This window comes from Homo sapiens, chromosome 11 (assembly GCF_000001405.40).
Source record: "Homo sapiens chromosome 11, GRCh38.p14 Primary Assembly".
Taxonomy (NCBI): Eukaryota; Metazoa; Chordata; class Mammalia; order Primates; family Hominidae; genus Homo; species Homo sapiens.
Window position 1 is genome coordinate 24,495,104 of NC_000011.10, and position 25,813 is coordinate 24,520,916.

General features: G+C 36.1%; 1 protein-coding gene across 9 annotated transcripts in view; it reads left to right on the forward strand.

Moving 5' to 3' along the window:
* LUZP2 (leucine zipper protein 2) overlaps positions 1,950-25,813 on the forward strand; it is a 585,586-nt gene continuing 561,722 nt past the window's right edge. For all 9 annotated transcript variants that reach the window (NM_001009909.4, NM_001252010.2, NM_001252008.2 and 6 more), the window contains exon 1: positions 1,950-2,202. In NM_001009909.4, the coding sequence (NP_001009909.2) occupies positions 2,141-2,202 (62 nt within the window). In that variant the 5' untranslated portion in view covers positions 1,950-2,140. The remainder of the gene's footprint in view (positions 2,203-25,813) is intronic.

Below are 25,813 nucleotides of genomic sequence, written 5' to 3' on the forward strand. Positions count from 1 at the left end.
AAAAATTGCCAAGTAGCCTTATGTCTTTGTTGAGTATACAACTCAAGTAATCTCCTTCAAAGTGAGCAGGGAATCTATGTTAGAAAACCCTGGCAGGAGCAAACCAGAGTTTTTATTTTACTTGGAATCAGAGTTCTGTTTTAGAAAAGTGTGGTGTCGTTTTTTTCTCTTAAATGATATGCAATTCACATGTTAGTTTATTTGTATATGCCTACTTATTAGGCATATACAAGATCGATAATGTTGTGGATCTTATTATTATTGCCCAAGGGGCTAATATTCACTTTTCAAAACTTATTACTCATCTAGTTCAGCAGCTCAAGATTTTGAAGCAAATCTGTTTTACATACATGTCTTAACCTTCAATCCCATTTAAAAAAAATAGTAAATTAGATGGTTAACCTTTTAGATTTGCATCCTCTTTAAAATAAAGCTTTACAGCAAATGCATTTTTCCTACAAATGTCTTCGAAAATGAGATTGAAGAGGATGTATCATCTAAATTTTTCTGTAAAGAGCTTGCCCCCGAAATAATTGGAACATGAACTGAAACCTCTAGATAGGAATTCCTGGACACAGCTGTCCATTATCTTTCGGGACTTTGGTGCACCTCACCCTTTACTGAACACAACTTTGTGTCAAACACTGGGCTAGGAGTGCTAGTTGTGATGTTTGAGGCAACAGTGGAATTTTTCTTAGGACTTAGTAGAACCAGTTCTTTTTTTTAATATGCATAGTCAGATTTTGATGATATTCAGTCTGCTCATATCTATAATAGTGATATTAACGTCTATTTCACTAGGATGGCTCTTGTGAAGATTAAATTAAATACTGTATGAAGAAGTGCCTTATACACAGTTATATAACCAGGATAATATCCAGATGGAATTCTCATTCTCTCTCTCTCTCTCTCTCTCACTCTCACTCACACACACACACACACACACACACACACACACACACATGCAATATCATCTTATAAATATCCTAGAATTGAATATCTCAGTAGCAGAGATAGTAGTTCTGTTTCTCAGAATTGCTTTTGCAAAATGGTGTTTTGGATTATAATTGTGCTATTTAATTTTTCTAATTAAAATTTCTAAATAGAGCCTATTAAATATTGGATGCTTATGATAGAACATTTGAAAATATAGAAAACCAAATGACCTACAAAACCTCTACCTTCCAGTACCATCATTCCGAGCTGATTACTGTTAACATTTTAATGGTTTTTGTCCGCTAGGTCTCCTTGATGAGTTTCACCTGAGGAAAAGGACTCCTTCAGGTGTGTGAACTTGAGCCACCAGGTCCAACCCCATTGGCAGGTGCTGGTACAGACGACTGAAATCAGAGGAAGATCAGAAATCTTCAAAACCCAGAGCAGCAGATGTCTTAACGGTCCCGAAACGTTCTTTGGTTCTTTGCAGTCAACATTCACGGGTTAAGAAGATTGCAATGCCATGACGGGCTGAGGTTGCATTTCTGGACGCTGCTTACTCCCGCTTCCTTCCATCTGTTTCAGGCAAATCATTATGCAGTTCTAATTAGAACAATCTTCTAAACACTCTCTCCAGAGCGACGTTCTTCCAAACACGGTTTAAGCGGCGAGAGACACCTGCCTAGGACCCTACGCGTCTGGAAGTCTCTCCCAGTGAATTGGGTCTCATCTCCTGCCGAGTACGCAAGTTCAATTATCGGCAGATTAGGTTTCTACTCTCCGTGCCCCGCCCCGCGCCATCCTGGGGAGCAGCGGGAATAAATGATCCGCCCCTGGCCAGTGCTCACCCGACTGACCAGAGCGCAGCCCGGTGACCGAAGCGCACGGGGCGATCGCGAGGCGCCCCCTCCCTCTCCCCGCGCCGCCTCCAGCGCGAGTGACGGCGCGCCCTCCGGGCTCCGGAGCGGCGGCGCCGAACAATCCCCGGCAGGGCTCGCCTCGCCGGTGACATCACTCCTGAAGATACTCCTCGCTCCCAGCGCCTGCCTTCCCCAGGCGTCCGTTCGTGTGCCCGTCTCCGCCTTTCCGCCTCGGAAGAGCGCTCATCACTGGCTGGGGACAGAGCCGGGCACCAAGGAGCGACAGGATCCCGAAGAGAGAGAGAGAAGGCAGCGAGGGAAGGAGGACCCCGGCAGGCAGCAGCATGAAATTCAGCCCAGCGCACTACCTGCTGCCTCTCCTGCCTGCGCTGGTCCTCAGCACCAGGTGAGTCCAGGAGCGTGAGTGACCTGAGGCCAGGGGCGCTGCCGGGGCGAGGTTGGTCCTACTGTGGGTCACCAGTGGGGGCCAAGGCACTTCAGCTGTTTGCATCTCCCGCCTAAGCAAGAGGGACGCTGTATGGTTTGGGCTCTGAAATCCTTCTGAGAGAGCAGAGCCCTTTCCTAGTTATCCCAGCCCCCTGGAGAAAGTCTTAGGATTGCTCTCAGTGAGGGATCAAAAGCTTTCTCTTCCGAAGGAGAGAAAAGACATTTTACCCTCCGGTCCTATTAGTAGCCAAAAGGTAACACGCGGTAAAAGAACAAAATAAAGAACGGAAATAGGCAAGGAGGGAATTGCCACCAGGCAGTGTCTTTACATTGGAGTTGTCTTAATAACCATAGAGCTTCTCCCTTCCCCCAAGTGTGCCTGATTTAAGGAAGAGGAAACCAGAGAAAACAGATTAATCCTGGAAGATGCTAAGACTTGTACAAAAGTTCCTGGACTCCTGAAATGGCATGTTTCAACGTCTTGGATAAGCTTAGTGATAGGCGTTTTCTTTTGACTGTCTTGTGAACAGGTCTAATTAAAGAGCACAGAAGGCGATTAAAAGTTAGAAGACACTCTCAGAGTGCTGATGCAGAGACCCTAGTCAGAAACAATTAAGTACTGTACTCCATCACTGGCCATGGATGGGACTTTAAGCCCCATTACAGAGGAGCTATTTTTGGTGGAGATTTAAAATGCAGAGATTGAGAAGAGTTTTGTGACTCCCCACTGTTGATCAAGTCCCAAAGTTGTGATGGGTTTGCTTTTTTCTTCCACAAGCGCAGCACAAAGGTGGACTGTTTAGTTGCCCAGGACTGTCTTTATTCTGCATGCCCTTAGCATCATATTGGCAGCAACCTCTTTCCCTTGGCTACTATAAAATAAAATAACCCACACAGGATGAAGATCCTTTCAAGTCTACGTGAATAGAAACATTATTTGATTGTGCATCTGATGGCAAATAAAGTAGGGATATAGGGTTGTTTCTAATTCTGAAATGGAAAAGGATGAAGAAAACTTACTCTGTCTTACAAATCAAGGCTGTAAAATTCTTGATTCCGTTCCTAATCTACACACCTTCTTTCAGGCCTGTGTAACCAAACTTTCCTTTTAGTGTAGAGACTATTTCATTTACCCTCAATAATTGATAAATTTAGTCTTTCCTTGCAAACAAAGCCCAGGTGACTTTCCCAGATTAAAATGAAATGTAAGTTTGATTCTTCATTTTCTGTAAGGTTTGCTTGTCACTTCAGCTCATAAAGTGCAGATGGTTTTAAAGAAAACCAGTTTGCTTCCCAGTATTATAATTAGTTGCTCTAAATACAGAGCCCATTTTAATATTTGTGGTTAGCTCTCAACAGTTCAATACAAATTATGCATCACAGTTATTCTTTAAATTCTTGCCATTCACTCTTATGTTGTGATTTAGTCTTCTAGAGAAAGGAAATTTTCTAACTTTGGACACTTAAGTAGATGACAGTCAACACATGCATAAATAATAGGAAATATTTAAACAATAGAAATCCAGCCCACAGTGATTTTAGACTGTGAACATCTCTAGAGTTCCAAAAGTACATTTGCTTTTTAAGGATACTATAATTAAATTGAATGAAAAAGCTCTATAGTCTCTAGCGTCCAAAGATTTAATGTTCGATATCTAATACAGGGTCAAAAAGCCATTATCTTTTCCTTTCATGAAAGTGTTGATTTTGATAGGGATAAATTTCTTTAAAAATAGTTAACACACTTATTACAACAAAAACTGGAATAATCATCTATTTCACTTTAGCTTTGAAACTTCTGCAATGCTTGTGGTATGTGAAAACTATGGTTATTAAATTTTACCAGAAGAGAATGCTGGGCTTGAAAAAGATGAAATATTTATAATAAGTAGCATATCTTATTAATGTGATTACTCTGTAGGAATTCATTTTACTGGATACCCAGAATACCCTGTGATATTGAACAAATATGAAAAGCAATGCGGTACTATCAGTGTCATTTTGCAAAGAAGAGAATATGTTTTAAAGATCTCTAACAGAAGGCCATTCTGTGTATAATATTTAACAGTTCTTATAGGCACATGGTTATTGTGCAGATTAGAACCTAAACTGAGCAGCTTTGAAAGGACAGTTGTGTTAGTAGGGATGAGCTTATTGTCCTGCTGGGAAAAGCTGAGTAGCTCAGCCATGGCCACCTGGGACAGTGGGTTTTCTGGCCAAAGACTTCTGTTAACTTAGTTTCTTAGTCAGTAGTCCTGTATGTGAAGCAAATGGTATTTCACATGTTTAGATCACGCTGGATGCATTAGCAGGTGGTGGTAATTGCTAGTTTTTCCTATAGCCTTTGGGTAATCTCACCTGTCTTTTATTGTCAAACTCTTTCCAAAGTGTAGGGAATGCAGAGCGGAGACTCTTAATGCAAATATATATATATATTTGTTTCATTATATCTTTCTCTGAGTGCATTGCCTTAATACTTTGCTATTTTATTTCCAATAGGTCTGAAGTTCAGTTCTATTTTAAAGTAATCTGTTCAGTGAAACAAATGCTGCAGGTGAAAAGGTAGTCTTTTGACTGTGTTGTGAACAGGTCTAATGGTATCTAGCCCACAGCGACTATCCTGTCTTTTAAACAGAAATTTTTGAATAGAAAACAATCCTGCCTTTTAAATAGACATTTTTGAATAGCTTTCTCTTTTTGCTTGTTCCTCCTTCTCACCTTTTCTGAAGCAACTTTAGATGCTGAAGCACAAAATCCCATAATTTAATCACAGTGAACATCAATGGCCCCCAATCAGAGTTAATGTATTTGTCCTGAAAGAAAGCTAAATGTTCAATTTACACAAAAGCCAAGCATTTTTCTCTGTTTTACTGGTAAACCCCATAGAGTTTTAAAAAACGAACAAAGAAAAAGAGCTGTTTAATGTCCTGGCATATGGTCTCTCCTGCTTAGAAAATGCATATAAATTACCAAAAAAAATCAAGTTAATGATATGAATAATGTAACTAATACAGAAACTCATTTAAACTGTACACAAATAAATGTGATCAAAGAAAGCAAACATGTTGGTTTAATAGCTTTGGAGTAGAATGACTATACTTTTAAGATAGCCTTGTTGTATAGTATTAAATTGCTATTCCAAGGTAGGCAGTAATTCACTTCAGAAAGAAGCAGTATAGGTATTGAAAGTAATGGTAGGGTGAAAAATTCTTTAGAAGTTCTTGGTGAAAAGGGACCCATGGAGTGCTGGAGAAGGCTCATGCTTTATTCTGCTGAACCTCTGTTCCTTTACGCTGTGGTTATACTCTTGATGCCTTTGGATTGTTAACTTTTAAATGACTTAATAAGGAGAGAGACATGGCAGGGGAGGAGTGAAGGTCTATTGACTTCTGGTGGTTTTCCATGAAGCAAGAACTTTGAGCAGATGGTCGGTTATAGTCCTCCCAACAGGAGTCACCTTAGAGGTCTCTCCTGGACTGTCTGATCAGCAGTCACACTACATGTTTATTTTGGAATCTATTTTTAGATGATACTATATATTGAAGATGCCCCGGGCTATTTGTTCCGTGAATTAAACTAACCTCAAGATCAACTTGATTTGTAGAATAAAGGACAAGAATCACAATAAACACAATGAGAACACACAAAAAATATTTTTACCCAAATAAATTTGATGCAAGAAGCAGTCTCACCTTAACTCTCCTGAAATATTTTGAGGCAACATGGGTTTGCTTCCTAAGTCCTGTGCACAGTGTCTGCCACACATGACATTTTACAGGATGCTACCTACGTTCCTTTATTTGTGATAAAAATTGTACCTTCCATGTAAATGAGATAGAGGTATGGCTTTCTTAAGAAGATATTAACACACAAATATTTTGACTTCTTACATTGCAGTTTTGCACCTTAGTCACCTATTTCCAATAGCAGTTTTTAAAATGACTTATCTGGTGATTATCTTTGTGGATTAAATTTTCTCTGTGATTAATGATAGGGACATCTCAAATATTTGATTTGTCTGTACAGTTGTCCTTAACCAAACTCCATGTAATTGAAAGGAAGAACTTGACCTTCTAACTAAGAAGCAAAGATCACTGAAACCAATGAGGAATGCGTGGTTCTAATGAAATAATGTTTTCTGGTGTGTGTTATAAGAAACTATGTGTGCGGCTGTTTCTCAGTGACTTCTAGAAGATTTGCTAAAATCCCTTTTACAAATGGTGCTAAATCATTTAAGTAACCTGATTAAACAGGTACTGTTTAAAATTATGGTTCCTTTTCTGAGAAATCCAAAAAGACTCTCTGAACTTGTCTTCATCCCTGTAGACATGTCTTTGATGTTTCATTATCATGCAGTAAGAATGTGCCTGCTATCAGTCAGTTATTACATGCACCATCAGGGCAATAAAACAATAGATTAGTTATGTATATCCATAATCTAGTCATACATACAAATAATGATATATAAAACAAAATTGGGTAAATAACAACAAAATTTTACACAAATTTCTAAGTGTGAATGAAGCAAAGAGTTAATAATGCCAATTAAGTGGTGTCTGGGGCAACTTCTACTTTCCAAGGATATTGAAAAGAAAAATATTTTGTGATCAACCTCAATATCCTGCCACACTTACTATATGTTATTAGGTAAACTTCTTATCCTCTCTATCCAGTTTTCTGATGTAGAACACAGACCTCCCCATAACACCTACTTGAGAAGGTAACAGCCTTCAATTGTAAGGACTGAATGAGTTCATCCGTGGAAACAGTTTAGCATATTCCCTAAGTACTCAACAAAGGTTAGCCTGTACAGTTATTATGGTATTATTAATATTATTTTTATAAAATCTTTGTGATTGATTTGGCCATAGCAGAAAAAAGAAAAAATATAGATACAAATCAATTAGGTGACATGAAATTAACAAGAAGCATAGTCATCATCCAAAAGAAAAGAATGATTGGTAGAGAAGAGAGGAAGTCAGAGGTATAATGGGGGTTATTTGGTTATTAGGCTAGTTTTTTTCCAAAGTATTTTGTTTGTTTGTTTGTTTGTTTTTGAGATGGAGTCTTGCTCTGTTGCCAGGCTGAAGTGTAGTGGTGCCATCTCGGCTCCCTGCAATCTCTGCCTCCTGGGTTTAAGCAATTCTCTGCCTCAGCCTCCTGAGTACCTGAGATTACAGGCGCCTGCCACCATGCCCGGCTGATTTTTTCGTATTTTTAGTGAAGATGGGGCTTCACCATCTTGGCCAGACTGGTCTTGAACCCATGACCTCATGATCCACCCGCCTCTCGACCTGCCAAAGTGCTGGGATTACAGGCATGAGCCACCGTGCCCAGCCCCTCCAAAGTGTTTTTGATGGTGCTGTACACTTTGGTGAACACCATGAAAATCTGGAATATTTAACTTAATGACTTAGAATGAGATTTAGCATAAAAGTGAATATTTGTCTGTTTGTATACCTAATTAAAATGTAATTGCTATAAATTTTGATATGAAATCAAAGCTGTGAGTACAAGTGTCAAGGAATAAAAGTGGAAGTTTTCAAACTATATAGGTAGGGTAGACTTGAAAGTTTTTATGACTTTATTTTCTACTTCTTCATTGATTTCATCATTTACCAGCAACATTTAAAAGGTACAAATGTTTAGAAAAATTAAAGGAATAAAAGATAGTATTGACATTTTTTTTTACTACGGAGAACAAATTAAGAATCACTGATATAGAGGCAGCCCAACCATTGTAGTTTTGAAAATGACCATATGAAAGGGATCTTATACTAAGTCAGTTTTAAAATAGCTTTAGTGGTTGTTGACCATCAACTAGTTTGCACATACATTATCATAAACTTTTCACAATTATGTAATAACATTCTGACTATTACATGAAAAATATATTTCTCTTTATTTTGCTATAGATTACTGTGTGAATGTGAATGTGTTGACAATGACATCTATGAACTGAGTGGATCATAGAAAACGGTGTAATTTACCGCTAAGAGTAGATGAAAGGTACAGATCATGTCAAGCTTGCATCAGAGAAAGTGCAAATATTTACTAAGACGTCTAAGAACTTTGCTTCATGAGTATGAAGACAGAAGGTGAAGGTCACCCAAGTAAACAGTGTTCTCTGAGGATTCTTTCGTAAACCCTAGGAGACATAATTATACCATAGGTAGTGATTGCATTGCAATTATGTCTGAATTGTTTGGTGTTGCTTTCCAGTGTTTTAATCTCTTTAAGTGTACTTTAAAAAGCCTACGATTGGGACACATATTGTGAACACAAGAATGTGTTCTAGTCCAAAGCCCTACAATTTAGAGGTGAGAAAACTGAAACCCAGGGTGACTGAGACTTGCCCAAGGTCGTAAAGGGAAACAAACTAGAACCCAGAACTTTCCACTATATTCATTCTGTTCTGTTATGTGAATGTTCACTATGACATAGCTATTCTGTAATTAAGCAACATGTGACTAGTTAGTACCTATGAAGAATCCAGAACTATTCTAGTTATTATGGAGTATAAAATAACTTAAAAACAAATTGTTGCACCACATGTAATCATCATAGAACAACAGGCCGTAAGACAAAGGGAATTACAGTAATAAGCAGTTGAACATCCTGTGTTTAGTAGATTTTTGAAGAATGAGCTGGCCTAAATAAGATTCTAGGTCATTTTCAAAACTCAAAGCAGAGTCATTAATGAGTTCTCATCATTGCACACCATTTACCTCCCATAAGATACATCTATAATGGTTCCTGCTGACCTTTCAGTTCTATTGTAAGGTGATATTTTTGGTGCCTTTGAGATCTTTCCATTGAAAGTATTTCCTGTAACTATAGTTCTCAGACATTTGCTGATATAAATCTCACTTGATAAATCTGTGCTGAAACTGTGGTATTTCTCAATGGGCAGCATGCTAACTATCTTGCAAAGATGTGTTCCTAAATATGTTCATACCTGGCTTTAATATAAGGTTACATTACATTTTCTTTGGTTTACATTTCTCTACACTGTCGTCACAGTTTGTGTGATGATGTAGTTATAGATATATAACATTTTTAGGTTCAGATGGTTGTAGAATATTCCACCTGCACATGTTATAAGCTCTTTGCCTTTGAATATGTTCTTTAACCATTCTGAAACTTAATTTTCCCCTCTGTAAAAAGTAAAACAATAATATCTAATATTTAGGGCCATTAAAATTAAATAAAATGTATTTAAGTGTGTCTCAGGGCACATAGCTGTGCCTTGTAGTCCCTCAGAATATGCTAAGATGTGTTCATTATTACTATACATAGATATGATGATTTAATATGTTTATTTTATATAGAACACCTCAAGCAATCAGCATGTAATTTAATAATTTTTTTTTAAATTCAAAATAAATGAAGTCCTTAATTTCATAGTTCTAGACTAGTACAGCCAAAATTATAAAATTATAATTTATTTTCTAATAAGATTCTCCTGGGGCCAGGGCAAGCGGGGAACTAACCCAATGAATGGCTTTCATGAAGATGTGAAACATTACCCATTTCTGTGACAGAATGCATTTTAGAGAGTACCTGCAGAGAAAATGCTTTACTCTAATTTCTAATTCTCACCGATAATTTAATAACTGAAGGTCACAAGCATTTGGCATCTCATCTTCAGGTTCCTCTTTTTATTTTTTCCTTTCTTGCTTGAAAACGAGTAAGACTGAAAGTGGGCAGTGACTCGCTGTCTTCCAAACTAGTTTTCAGAGCTAAGGTATTGGTAAGGGCTAAATCAGATTCTGGGACATTCATCTCATGTCCCCTGTGGAGGATGTGACTTCTTCTGACTTCCTCCTGCCTGTCCTCCAGAGGGTTATGATGGTTTCTGACCTTCAGATTCTGATTCAAAACATACTGTTACCATCTAGAATCACTTATTCCATGAGTGCTGATAAATGGAGTCGGGGAGTTTAGGGGAGGAATGGAGATGACAAGAGGTGTTTGTCGTGTTGCATGGGGTTAAATCCAAAAGAATCCAAGCTCAAACGGAGACTCTGAATCAGCCTTCCTTGTTATATGAATTTAGAAATGTCAATGAACATCTCTTAGCCATATTTAACAGTGCCTCTCTCATAGATATGTCAAGAGGATTGAATAAGCTAATGTATAAAGAATAGCATCCAGCACAGAGAAATACAGCTCACTATATCGACAGTCTACATTATCTAATTAAAATTTTACCCTACCAGATTGTACATGCATTTCAGCAAGAGAGATCATTGAGAAAAGCTCATGTGGCATAGACAAGTTAGAATTGTTGATGAAGAGTTTGTGGAGCTCATGCCTAACCTCCTTTATTACAAACTAAAAAAACAAATAAAATGGTATTTTTCCTTCAAGAACATGCAGATAATTTGGGGGCAATGTGGAAGCCAATTCTCTATTATCTTAACCAATTCCAGTTGGGAACACTAATTTAAACAACTATAAGGCTTTTAAGAGAAAAAAAAATAAAGAAAGACAGTATTACCTGACCTCGTTTCTATCTGGTGCCTGAAGCTCCAAATTATGTTGCTATAATATGGGTAAATATTAAATATAGGTATAAAATAATTGTTACAATTATATTTCCATATTAATTATTTTAAAGAGGATTCATTGTTCAAGATTACCTACAGGTGGCAGGACTAAATGTGTAAATCATAAAACAAGGACAGCGTAACATTAACAAGACAATTGACAAGTTGAAGGTCCTGGACTTCTAAAATTAAGTAATCCTACAATGGGATAAGTTTGGTCATGACCTGCAGAGAATGGTCCAGAAGAGGGACTAGGATGGTAGAAGGAAAGGAGAAACTTAGCACACTTGAGCTATTGGAATGTAGCGTGCTTGGAAAGATACTATAAGAGAGGAAGGGAAAGCACCAATCACTAGCTTTTTCTTTATATATAATTTTCTCTTTTCTAATGCTTGCGGTCATTTATTTCTGGCCTTTGAAGTAAACTAAGCATTGGGCAGGAAAAGGTGGGAAAGTCTCTGAATTATAAAAGAAACAAGAAAATGCATGAAAAATTGGAGTAACATCTTAGGAAGACACAGATATGGGCAGAAGCAGCTTTATATTGTTGTAGCTTTTTCCTTCAGATGCCACAGAGAAAAATGTTAGCTCCTTCTGCGTGCACACAGAAAAGTGAGGGGCAATTTTTTCTTTTTCTGACATGACAGTTTAGAAAGATATTGAAGTATATCAAATCCCTTTTGTGTGTTCTCTATATGTCTTTATTTCAGTTGGCCATTTTATAGAATGATAACCTACAGGTTAGACCAAGATTTCTGAGGACTAATCGTGTGTGTAGAAGTGCTAGCTACTTACTCTTTGTCACTTAATCCTTACCTATGACAACACATTATATTCATATATGATTCATCACTAGGGACCCCTAAGTTTTGCACTCATTAAATGACTATCCCATATTCCCCCAGCTAAAAATTGGCCAGACCCTAGGTCATTATTCTAAGAATGGCTTTATGAATGAAACTATTAGGCTGCCTATATAGAATCTAGTCTCTGTATAAATGTACAGTGAAGAAAGTAATAATCAGTACTACAAATAAGAAAGCAGAAGCTAAACCATACTGGCAAAGGACTGCATGTTTTCAATAGGTGAGACAGAGTACATTAAAAATATTCTTAAAATAAATCAGCTAAAATATTCATTAGTTTGAAAATCAGCCAAATAAAGCCTTTATTATAAATACAAAAGTTTGCCAGGTAATACATGTTCTCAATTTAGTTTCTCCAAGTATGCTCCTCATTCTAATTGAATGATAATTACCTGTGATGGTCCTTAAAAATACATATTTCAGTTCCTACCCTAGACATTGAATTTTCATTTTAATATGGAACTTCCTATGTATATGAGAGCTTAGAAACTACAGCTCTAGTATTGCAGAACTATAAACTCTAGTATACTTTCATCTCTTTACCATTTACTCAACATGCAAATTGTAGCTGAAGTCAGGAGAATGGGAAGATGTTGATGTTTTGGCAAAAATCACACCTTTACACATGTGTATAAATACATTTAGTAAATGAGGATCTCATTGTGCTCCAGGCTGCTTTTATCAGTCAATTTAAATGAAAATAATTATCCGCCTCACATAGCTTTCTTTAAAGGGCTGAGAAAATGCTCAAATAAATTGTGTAAAATATTTACATGGATTTATCAGGGGGCATAGTGTATTTAGAAAATATGAGACAAAAGGTGAAATGTCTGAGATAAACTACAAAGAATTCACACTTAACTTTCTCTCCCTCCCTAGCTTTTATCACTGCAAGTTATATAATAAAGAGGCAAAAAAACCAAGACCTACACATGAAGCCATATAAATGCTTGTTCTAGGCTACTTGGGGCAGGAAATCTGAACTTTCAAAATGAGGAGAAGTAATATTTACGTGGTAAAAATTAAAGTTTTGATCATCTTCTCCCTACTCCCCTTAAATGGTGGTTGGTTTTGCATGATGTTAAACACTTTTTTCTAAGAAATGTGTGAATTAAATAGAATGTGCAACTATGCCAGTCATATTGCCCTAGTGCCTAAACTCTGTATCATTAGTTAATTCTCCTAGAGTGAAAAAAGAAACTCAAAATATAAATAATAATATAATATTTATAATAATATAAATGAATAGTACTTAGCAATTATATAATACCATCAACCAGGTTAATCTTTACAATAAACCTTGAGGTGATTACTGATGTTGCCCTAATTTTATAGATGTAGAAACTAAGGCACATGAGATTAGATTACTTGGCCAACATTATAACTGGTAAGCAGTGGAGTCTAAATTCAAAGGCCAGGTGGCACTAGAACATACATTCTTAATCACTGTACTACAGTGCCTCCTAGGATATAAAGTGAAGCTCTGGAATGGCCTTAAATTTTTGTGTTGGCTTCATTTGTGGGTTCTAGTTGCATGCCCTTCCGCAAATAAATAAGTAGCCAAAATTTTATATACAGTTAAAGAAGGAAGGCAAAATGTTACTTTTTCTCAGGTAAGCTCACAATTAAAGGTGACAGAAGATCCTTTCTTTAAAGTTCTAACTAAAATATTTATTTTGTTTTTGTGGTAAAAGAAAAATAATCATATATTAGCATGGTAATATCTTTATGTGTGGAGGCTGTTTTTTAAAAAATACCAGTGAACTATGGTTTTCTACTGCCTGGCTCCAGATGTCTTCCAAGTGTTAATTGTGGGGCTTAGGAACAAATGTGTAGAATCAGGCTGACCTGTGTTCTAATTATAGCTTGGTATCTTCTACTTGTGTGATTCCAGGTAGCTGTCTCAGTTCCTCAGACTCATAATTTAATTTTTAAAAATAATTTATAACAGTAGCTAAAGGTTACTGCTTGTTTTCTATGTGTAAGAACAGTACTACAAATTTGTCTAAGGTTACTTTATTTAATGCTTTTCAGTGCCTTATGAAGTGCTTGCTTTACAAAATGAGGCATTAAGGATTACAGAAGTTGACATATCTAAGGTCACAAAATTAAAAAGGGGTAGAGATGAGACTTGAGCCCATGATTTAATAGACATAAGACTCAGGATTCTAATTCAAGGTCAGGATCCTGAGACAATAAAAGTTAGCAATAAAATTTTTGATGGCTAGATATTTGGGAAGTAACTCAGAAACTAAGGAGCTGTTGGGACTACATGTAGAATGATGGGACAAAGAACTTGTGTCATACACACGCGACATGTGCGATGAGTGAGGGTTCAGTGCACAGTAGGTTCTTGCCCGCTGTTTGCATGCTGAACCTCAAGACTTTCCATGTAGGAAATAGGGTCACCTTTGGTTTTAGAGATGTGAAAAGCAACAAACTCAACATTCACATTTGGTCTGTCTTGAGAGCCTTACCATATGATAATAACAGCCAGATTTTTCTTAGAAAGTCGTTTGGCTGGAACTGTTCTTCCACTGGTAATCAGAAGATGGCACTGTGAAGTATAGTACAGTCATAACTGTTCTAGAATTAACTCATTCATAGACTGATACACTTGCCTCGAAATTTGTATCTAAAAAAAGTATATAATATGTACTAGATGATATATATAGTATACATATGGTATATATTATATATGGTATAGTATATATCATGTAGTATATAGATTATATATGTAATATATAATGTGTATATGTATTATGTAGTATATATTATATGCATATTTTAATAAATATATTACTCATAGACATCTTTCACTTTTCTGAATACTTATCCTTAAAAATATGGTTATATATAACATATTATATGTTATATACACAGAATATATAAATATATTCCGTAGTATATATTATATGCATATTTTAATAACTATTTTAAATATATTACTCATAGATACCTTGCATTTTTCTGAATACTTATCCTTGAAAGTAGGCTTATTTGGTAACACACTATCATTAGCTTGATTCCAGTAATCACTACAGTGTTTCCTCTATGTCTACCTTTCTCTCGAAGGAGCATAGACTTGCAAATTTAATAATGTATACATTTCCCCTATATATTCTTTTACTTGAGTGACATAACATTAAGTGAATTCTCAAAGACAGCTTTGACAGGTAGTGGGCAATGTGTGAGGGAGACATAATACCTGGCATTTTTATAGTGTTTTAATTTTAATTGTTATACATGCTCATAACTCCTCACAACATCTTATGTAGCAATTCATAATAACCTCATTTTATAGATGGAGAGAATTTTAGTAATGGCAGCCAGGTAGCTTAAACCCAGCGCTCTGAATTCCCCATTCACAACACCAAAGTTGCTTTGGAACCTTGAAAGTTGGGGTGCAAAGGAGGCAGAGTTACCCAATGGCTAGCTCTTATGTCTTAAAGAAAGAAAACGAAAGAGCAGAGTGTACTGAGGATTTAAATTGTGATGCTACCCATTTTTATATTTGGAAGATGAAGCCACAGGTACCAGCCTGGCAGGACTAAAGAAGATGGTGCCTATGCAATGTTTGGCATGTTTTGCCATATTGGCTTTGGTTCTATATTGTCTTGGGTACATTTCATAAGTTCCTGTAAGTACCTGCCTGCAACCCTTGCCACCTTAATCAGTTGAGATTCAGGTTTTTTGGAATGCGTCAGAAAATCCCAAATTACAATGCCTTAAACAAGATATAAATTTAGTTCTCTCACACATAAGTTATGTAACAGGTAGGAAATCCAGGGCTGGCTGGTTCTCCATGGCCAGCAAGTGGGCAAACAGCTGCATTCTAACTTTCATGGGCTTCAGTTACTTTAAACTTCATCAACCCTTACTCTGTTAAATATATATACGTATACCACATTTATATTATATAACATATTGTTTTGTGACTATGTTCATATAAAGAATAAAATATTAATATTATCTACTTCAAGCTAAAAATTCATTTTTAAAAATTCTAATTTTAAAAGAAATTTAAAATATTTGTGGGCCAAGAAAGTATTGTGGACCATTGGCCATTGACTCTGTGCTGCTGTGCCAAGTGGGTAAGTTAGCCATGTCAGTAATGACCCCAGCTCCTTCCAGCTTGTTGCTCTGTTGAGGTCTTTGCCCTCGTGATCCAAGGTGGCCACGAGAGTTCAAATCATCCTTCTAAATAGCAGCATGGAGGAAGGACACACTGCTTTCCTTTTATGAATACTCCCCATTTGCTAGTCTTAGTAGAGTAGCTGGTCCCATATAAAATGGAGCCTGGGACTTGTAGCCTTCTTACCTCTGCCATATATTCAGGTAAGAATATATTGGAAGCTCTGTCATACTGTCTGTGCCTTCCCTTCTGACTGTTTATGTAATTCTCTGCTATGTAAGTTGATTCAGTTGCTCCAAAGGAAGTTGTCTTTTTTGTGTATAGTAAGCCCTTATTTAATGCCATTCACAGATTTTTGGAAACCACAACTTACGTGAAATGATGTGTAGCAGGTTTCCTTCAAAGTCCTTTCTGATGTTGGTGACAAGAAATATCATTTTGTTATACATGACAATTTATGGTGATGTGAAAGCTGGTGTCTGTCGCTACAATTTTTTTAATTAATTAAAAAATAAAAAAAAATACAATGGCAAGATTTTGGATTAGAATCACTATTTCAGCTTACAGGGATGGTAAAAGTTTACATCAGTTGGATATTTGCTAGGAGATAGGGACAGATAGGGACAGAACTAGGGAATAGCACTAAAATAGGAGTATTCATAAGTAATAATCTTTATGTGACTAGATATTTACCAATGATAAAATAATATCAGTAAATGGTTAAACGTTGAACTTAGGGCGTGCTATCTGAGGTGACTACTTTAAAGGCAAAGTTCATATGTATTTTATGATTTATATTGTGGTTTAGACATATGAAGTACTTAACTATGTGCTTAAATATTTACTAAATGACTAATTCATACCTTTTGCTTTGTTGTTCTTTCTTGAACTTTTTCCGATGAGTGGAAAGAGAACACTTAAATAACGTGATATAGATGATTTTTAAAAATTTAAGTGAATTATGCTAAGTCTTAGCGAAGTGTCTCTTATTTAGGCTAACCTCAGAATTACACTGTGATAATATGCACTAGTATCCACATATATTTATGTTTGGATCTTATATTATCAGAGACTAGCATTTTCCAAAATTCTCTTCCTTAGAAGAAAGTATCTGTCAGGGGGAGAGTGAATAAAGAAAGTTGAAGGAGTTTCTCTGTATACTTTTGTCCAACTGGGAGAGGGATGCCATGATTATGATAACAGAGTGATTAATAGATGATGTATATTGGGCTGAACAGGGGAAGAAGTGAAACCAAGATGGTGCTGGAAGCAAAGGAAAAGGTGAAGGTGCTGAAGAATGTGGAATGTGGTGGTTGTCACAGGCTGAAAAAACAAATAGCGGTGGTGGTAGAATATTGGTAGTATAAACCTTAAGAACCATCTTAGAATTCTAACATTTCAGATCTCAGTGAGTCTTTAATATCTACTCCAAACCTTCATTTTTTTATAAATTGAGGCTCATAGATGCCAAATAACTTATCAAAGTGATACAAATATTTAATAGTACAAGTAAGACGTGGGAAAAAAGCAAATATAATAATACGTTACATATTTTATTGCTGAAGCAGCATCAGTCTTTCATAAAAATTGAGAGAACTTCATCATAATCATGAAGTTACCTAAGTATGTAAAGTTTTTCAGAAAAATGACAAATGAATAATTATGGTACTTTTTATTTCAAATATCTAAATCATTCTTAACACAAATTTCAATGTTAAAGGAATGATTTTACATTGTTGTTTGATCTCTAACACTTAATACGAAGTTCAACGTTACTTTTTGTATACTAAATATAGCTTGGCTTGTTGAAATAGGTCTTTTAATTCCTGAATTTAATGGTTATTTTTTTCTTTGTTTTTTTTTTTTTGGAGATGGAGTCTCACTCTGTTGCCCAGGCTGGAGTGCAGTGGCACGATCTCAGCTCACTGCAACCTCCGCCTCCTGGGTACAAGCAATTCTCCTGCCTCAGCCCCCCGAGTAGCTGGGACTGCAGGCACATGCTGCCACGCCCAGCTAATTTTGTTGCTGTTGTACTTTTATTAGAGACTGGGTTTCACCACGTTGCCCAGGCTGGTCTTGAACTCCTGACCTCAGGTGATCCACCCGCCTCGGCCTCCCAAAGTGTTGGGATCACAGGCGTGAGCCACCGCGCCCAGCAAATGATTTTTTTCTATATGACATAGTTTTCCTTTCAGTCTCTGTTTTTTAATTACTATTATTTTAAGAAAATAGATGGTATTGATGTTTTCAAATCATGTTTTCTTTCAAAACATGGAAACAAGCTAATATCACAAATTTCTCCTAAAAATAAAATAATTAAAATTGTATTTGCTGACATGCAAAATAGCTAAAAATTAAGTCCCCCTTGCCTGTTTTTGGATTCACAAAAGACTTGATCATATCTTAGCTAAAAACATCTATATTTGAAAGAAAAGCTACAGAGTCATATGATGGTTAGCCTTCATCCTTTAGCAGTCGTTGGTAAGGTTTTATTTCATTTTTACAATCAGCATCAAGAGAACGATATAGATGAGCTTTATCCTGGGATAATGACTATGTCTTAAACTATTTTCAGATATTATGAAAACATTAAAATATCAATAGCCACTTTAAAATTGTGTTGCTGTTTTGACTGTCTCCTTAAATAATTAGAAGGGTAAATATTCTTTTTGAATATTCTTAGGATCTATATAATACGTGACTCATATGGTTTTTCCTGTGTCTACTTTCTGACTGTCATTACTTATAGCTACAGTAAGTTGCAGGGCCATGCTTTGGGCACTATACTCTGATTCTAAAGCCTGGGGTGTGCCATGGAAAATCAGTCAATGAATTCCATTAATACCAAACAATCACTAAATGCTGGTAGAAATGAATACCTTACTCTTCTGGAAGATCACCACCTTTTGTCTCTCTTTGACCTTTCAGAGTCTGAATGTAGACAGTGTTTATCTCAAAGAAGTGATGAAAAGTTGACAGGCTGGGAAAATAAGAGTTGCCAAACAGAATGCTAATTGGAGGACCACGTAAGCATGGAACGGATTTAATGTTTTGAAGTGTCCAAGTGTAGTGCATTCTGCAAGCATAGTTAGGATTCCCTGGCTATGTTCTATAATAAGAAGCTGATCTGGCTGGGGATACAAGCAGACCTCTGGAAAATAAAATGTCTTAAAGATGAGTGGTACCCCTAAACAGTGCCCATAAACAGAAGCATGTGGCATATCCCTGGCATTCAGCAAGGGGCTGTGGAAGAGGAGTCTTGATTGGTGGGAGAGAAATCCTCCACTGAATGCAGAGAGTAACTAGTTGGTTGTGTGTGTGTGTGTTTTCTTTTCTGGCAATTAAAAATTTCAAGACAAAGTGGCAGAGAAAAAGAGAGAAAGAAATAGATGGTGATGATCAGTCTTTGGTTCCTCATCCATGGTGAAACTGAGAGCATTCTAGCATAAGAATGGTTTCAGAATAAGTAATTTGCTTTACAATTCAGTGATCCTGAACAAATAAACTGTATCCACATCTCAGAGCAGCTGAGAAGGAGAGCAGCCCTGAGGCATTACAGCACAGAATGAGGAAGGTATATTGTAGTATTAAGGGAAAACACATAATAAGATCGTGCCTCTCCTTCTATCAAGCCCACTTGTCAATGGAATGATTATAAATTTCACTTTGTGGGGAATTGCAGGGTACCATCGTCATACAGAACCAACTGAATGGATGTTCTTTGTTTATGTAAATAAACTTTGTTAACATAATTTTCTTAATTTATTAGTTTTTTTTCTTTTGATATTCCCAAGTGTGAGAAAAGAAGGTTATGACAACACAGCAATAAGATTACATGAATCTATTTATCAGGGCAATTGTTAAAAGAATTCTCCCCACTGGTGTTGAAGAAAGAAATATAGTAAGACTTAGTCCTTGAGGTGAGGGCTGTTCTGTAAAAGCGGCCTGGCTCAAGGAAAGCTAAATTCACAAAACTGCTGGTTGGTTCAGGATCAAGCTCTTTAGGGTAGGAGACTTTTTACATGACTTTAGGTCAGAGGTCCTAAAGAGGAGAGTAAATGAATTATTGTTAGTAAGACCAAAGGGTGTGGTGAACAATCGTTGTCATTGAAACCTCTGCTGATTTGAGCTCTTAATGCTTGCAAGTGAAGGACGCTAGAAGGTCTATTATTTACCATTTCCCCGATTTCAGGGCAGAGTTTAGAACCGGAAAGTTCATAATAACTTCTTGGAAATTAACTAAGTCCTCTGATGTAGGAGTTACACAATCATCTAGAATGTTATTTTTATTTTTTCCTGAGGCAGATTATAAAACCGTATACTGTGCCTAGCATGTGTGAGGTAAGAGGAGAGAAGTGGTATTCTAGGAATACTACACATCCTCTGTAACTTACTCTCTTCCTACAGAAGTTTAGTCTACTGAGCTGAAAGACCCCATCTGTAAATGACACTTTTTACAACCAGCAAGAGGGATAACTTGGCAATTGGTTGGTTTATAGCAATTAAGGATATATAAATTAATTCAATTAATATTCACAAAGAACTTGATATCTATCAGGGAATATGCCAGGAAATAATGTTAAGTGCTTGGGAGCCCAGATGCATTAAAGAAAATACATCCTTCATAGAAGGAGAGGGAGACAAAAAGTGCAAAGAGTAAAGTTTCCCAGCTCTGGGAATAGCTGTGTAAGGTGTCACAGAAGTAATGACTTTCCTATGGGTTTCAAAACGTAGACGGAACTTTTTAGCCAAAAATTTTTGCTTGGGAAAACAAATTCCAGGAAGAGAATAGCAATGTGAAAGGTGCTAAAATAAAATAATAATAATGACAGAACTAATCATAGGCTCTCCAGTAGTGAACAAGCACTGACTAATATGTATGTAAAAACAGCAGGCTCTGTGCATCAGGGTGGGTTTACCTCTGTGGTACAACCTGTGCTCCAGAGCTCCCCTAGGGACTGGGTAAAGCTATTCTGCTGGGACCACTTCCTTGCTGAATTTTTTGTCCTGTCATGTTTTTTTTCTTTCTTATGAAAGTTCTCATTTATCCCTGATAAATCAGCTTTCCAAAGGAGGCCCTGATTATGCTCTGCTTCTGTGAAAACTGACCTGAGACAGAGGCTGATCCACCTGGATTTGAATCCCCGTCTTCCACATGACTAGTTATGTGATTTTGGATGGGCTGTTGAAAATTTCTTATAGTAGATTTTTTTTTTCAGTTAAATTGGGAAAATAATCAATCTCGAAGACCTGTTTTGAAGATTAACAGATTAACAGATTTTAAAGACCTGACACTTACACTTGATTAATATATGTTACTTTTCTTTCCTGTTAATTTGTGGAAATGAATGTAAAACCTAAAATTATTTGTATGGAATTTGGATAGGTCTTATATGAATATGAAATTCTATGACCACTTGTCAATCTGAAATAATTGAAATAATCAGAATCCAGTTTTAATGAGTTTATTCAAGTAAAAATCTGGGAATAGCCACCCAGGTTACAGGGACTCCAGAGAAATGGGATAAGTGCTCCAAAGCTAAAAGTTAAAGTTGTGCTTACATAGGAAGAAAACAAAGACATATAACAGGATTACAACATTTTCTACACAAGGCTGATTTATGAGTAACAACATTTTAATTGGTTAAAGTTTGTTTTCTTTTTTGTGTGGCTGGTTTTCTTTACAATTTAAAAGTGTATATTTAACATTCCATCTTAAGACAATATGACAGCATGAAGTTTTTCTGTGAGAAAGGTAAGAGAGAAGTTAATCTAAAATGAAGATCAGCCCTGAAGAGGGAAGAGGTCTTTCCTGGTGCTGTGTAGTCATTTGTAATATTTTACAAAACAATGTAGGTAAGGAAGAAGGCAAATCTATAATTAGAGAAACAAAAATTACAGTTTTCTAGGTTACAGCTGCCTAGGTAACAGCTGCCTGTTTATGTGACTTATGTCCCATAATCACATTCCCTTAAGGCTATAAAATTTAGTTTCAACAGCTTAGATTGTGAGTTACTTATTTTTACATACTCAAGAAATAAACTCTGTGATACAATCTATGTGCCAAGCTCTCTATGTGGCTTTATTTCCAGGTTTGATAATTTCTTATTACCATCTGTTATTTTTGTCTTTGAACCTTTCCTAATACAAAATACAAAGATTTTTCTTTATCATATTTTTTGTGTTCTAAGTTGAAACATATGCATGAAATCTTATTTGAAATCTTAATTGAAACATGAATAAGATAATCTTATGTCACCTGTCCAAAAAACTATTGCTAAAGGTTAAAAATATTGTAGGTACAGGCCGGGCACGATGGTTCACGCCTGTAACCCCAGCACTTTGGGAGGCCAAGGTGGGCGGATCATGAGGTCAGGAGATCGAGACCATCCTGGCTAACACAGTGAAACCCCGTCTCTACTAAACATACAAAAAGATTAGCTGGGCGTGGTGGCGGGTTCCTGTAGTCCCAGCTACTCGGGAGGCTGAGGCAGGAGAATGGCGTGAACCTGGGAGGCGGAGCTTGCAGTGAGCCAAGATCCCGCCACTGCACTCCAGCCTGGGTGACAGAGCCAGACGCCGTCAAAAAAAAAAAAAAAAAAAAAAAAAAAAAATTGTAGGTACATATTAAATTTTATGTAAGTTTTTTATATTTAAAAAATGTTCTATTTATTTTTTCATATATCTAAATAATGACTCCAAAAACATTAATCACTTCAATGAGGGCATCAGTCACGTCACTGATTATTGTAAATTGTGGAGCCAATAATCCATAGTTTGCTTTCTTAAAAATCCATTTTAGAAGGTTGAATTTATCAGATAGTCTGAAGTGTTAAATGAGAGTTTAATCTTGACTTATTGAAAAATGGCATCATTTTGCTTCCCATGGTTATTTTTATATTGTGTCTGAAGAAAGAAAAATCCTTTTGTGTTTCTCATGTTTATGGTGTATAACAGGCTCTTTTTAATTATAGAAAATTCCTGTCTTTTAATCACTGAGAAAACAATTTTCCTCCCATAAAATAATACATTTTTTCATCATTTGGTTTTTAAAATGACATATTCCAGGGATTATTTTTGAAATATTGGATGCTTATCTAACACTATCCATTAAGTTTCTATTCATGTGGAAAATGAAATGGAAATGTAGGAGAAATTATTTTTTAGAGGGAGGGGATAAAAGGCCTATAATTAATCAGCTGTTATTAATGAATAAGATAACATTGAATTCAAACAAATAAAAAATTAGTTCTTAAGTGTTAGGTATGACCTCATTTAATTAAGTTAGATAATTTATATAAATGAGATAATTTAACTTATTTAAAGCTTAGCTAAGTTAAGAGACTTGCTTCATCTAATCCATGAGTCAATGGTAAAATCAGAATTTAAGCTCAGAGCTGCATGAATCTAACATCTAGGTTCTTATAACTTTAGCCATGTTTGTTAAAGATCTTTGATTATTTTTTTTAATGTCTGATATGCCTATTTTCCCCTTGTAACATTGTATATTTACAGTCTGGGCTAACAAGATAACAAGCTATTTGAGGGTGTTTTATCCTTTCTGTAAGTGTTAAATGAGAAATTTCTTCCTCCTTTTTAAAACGAATGGAAGAGAAACTGTTAAAAATTATTAAAGAGTATAGTTACTGAGTGTCCTTAGTCCATAAATAGTTTTTAGAATGTTAAGATGATAACTGAAATATCAGAAGATGATAGTGGGTTTTTATGCACATTTATTAGGGTTGTTTTCTTCTTGATCTTTTCACTGTTTGTGCCTAGTTCAAAGTTAGTCAATAAACAGAACATGGCTTTGTGACCAAAAATTCTCTGAAAAAGAATTTGGAGGAAAGAAACTTTATTCCAGTGAACAGTTTGCAAACTGGGAAGACTGCATAAAACAAAGGGGCATTCCAGAGAGCAAAGAGAGGGTTCGGCTTTTATAGAGAAAGTTTCTATTCAAGTTCCCAATCAAGTCTATTTATGCAAATGAAGGATTCAAACTTGCTTAGTGCTGATTGATTCACAGAGCTGAGTTCTGATTATTTTGATGCAGATCATACTCTATTTGTTGGTTCAGGTGACGTGAACAAGGACAGTCAGCTATGAAAGTCCCAAGTTAGGTAGACGTGTGGGTTTTCTGGAACTGAGTACATGTGTGAGCTCTAGGTAGCAAATGGCCTTTGGGCTCTATTTTAAACTTAGACACTGTTATCCACTCAGGATTCATGTTGAGGGATTGGCTCTTTCACGTTTACAGTTTCATTACTCAGTTTGCTCTCACAGTCATACCATCCTCTTTATATTTTGACTACAAATCTTATTTTCTACTTTGACTTCAGACCATTAGGATTGTATATAAGGACTGTTAACAGTACCCCTCAACCCAACTTTATCTAGAATGAGTCTTGAGCTTTGGAGACTCCTGTACTTGAATGGAGAATACAGCAGGCCATCTGGAACTGTCTAGGAAATCGGATGTAGTTTTAGGGAGAAAGATAAAGTTTTGAATGTAAGATTCATTCCTTGAGATTTTATTGTTTAGTTATGTTTATAATATTTTGTGCTGAAGTCAATTAAACAATTGAAGAAAATAAGTATGAGATCTCCAGAAATGAAATTGTGTGGTGAACACATTAGAAGAGCAGACCTACTATGTCTTCCTCCAAAACTATCTTAGTGAAAAGTCCTTGGGAAAGGGTTTCGCCTTTCATCCAGGATACAGCTTCAGTGAGGCAGTTCTACACATGTACTGGAATTTGCTGTCTTTTCATGTCTTGGTTAATTTGGAATTTCATTTATTTACTATTTTGATGTGAAGAATTGCACTTCAGATTTTAGTAAATTATTGCCATGTCAATATAGTTGCATTCTAATGATAATATGCATCTTTTTTAAAAAAGGCTTTTTTCAAAATAATTTTGCTTCATGATTAATTTGTGATTGCACATAATTTTCATAATTTTAGTTCAGACAATCTTTAGACATGAAGATACTTGTTGACAGCACAGTACCTTTGTTCCTCTCTAGTAACTCAATATAACAACATCAGCAAATATTGGTATGAGTTACTATTATTAATGATTTATTTTCATAATCTGATTTCTTTTATTTCATTAGTTGCCTTGGGTTTTTGTCTGATTTCAGAAGCTACATAGCTATGTGATTTTTAAAATGGCATAATAAAGCATAAAATCCACAAGATCTTTAGTTTTGGAGAATTTTGAATGGGAGAATTTTGAAGATTGACCTGTGTACCCTTAAAAGGGGAAATCAGGTAGAAAGACAGCTGTCAAGAAGATGCAATGGAATTATTACCAACAGAATTGAATAAAACACATTTTACAAAAAAAGGTTAATATCTACTCTAAAACGCACTAGTGTATGACCGAAAAGCAATATTTGGAAATGGAACTGTTATCAACAGGAAAAACAGGGAAGGATTTAAAAAATGACTGCAATAAATACTTATGTCTGTAGTTGCATTTGGACACCATTTTGAAGGAACCCCTTCCACAGAAACCAGATGTGATTTCTGTTTTTCTGTCTGGAGAAAGCACACATATAATGAAAAGGTTGTATAATTATTGCACTTGTACAGAAGAATCTTCTCATGTAAATTTAAATTTCAATAAGTTGCTGGATTAAACTTTAGCAAGGGAAAGGAAATTGTAAAACGTGGTCTTGTCTTTCATTCACATGTTTGTGTTAGTATGTTAATTATCCTTTTTGGGGGCAGGAGAAGTACAATGAAGCATAGGCCAGCATAAATGCTACTTATACAGGAACCAATACCAGAGCCAGACTAGGCTTAGGAAACCTTAATGGTACATTTAGATAGATAATTGCCATAGCAGTGAAACAGTAGAAACTTATTTTTTGTCAGTGCAAAGCAGGTTTACTAATTACCAGTCCCAAGAGAGGACTCCCATTGCATGGGGAATAGCAAAGATCATCCTTAGGCCAACCACCAAAAACTCAACCAAGGGTTTTCCAGGGTTGCAGACAAGTCAAGAGAGT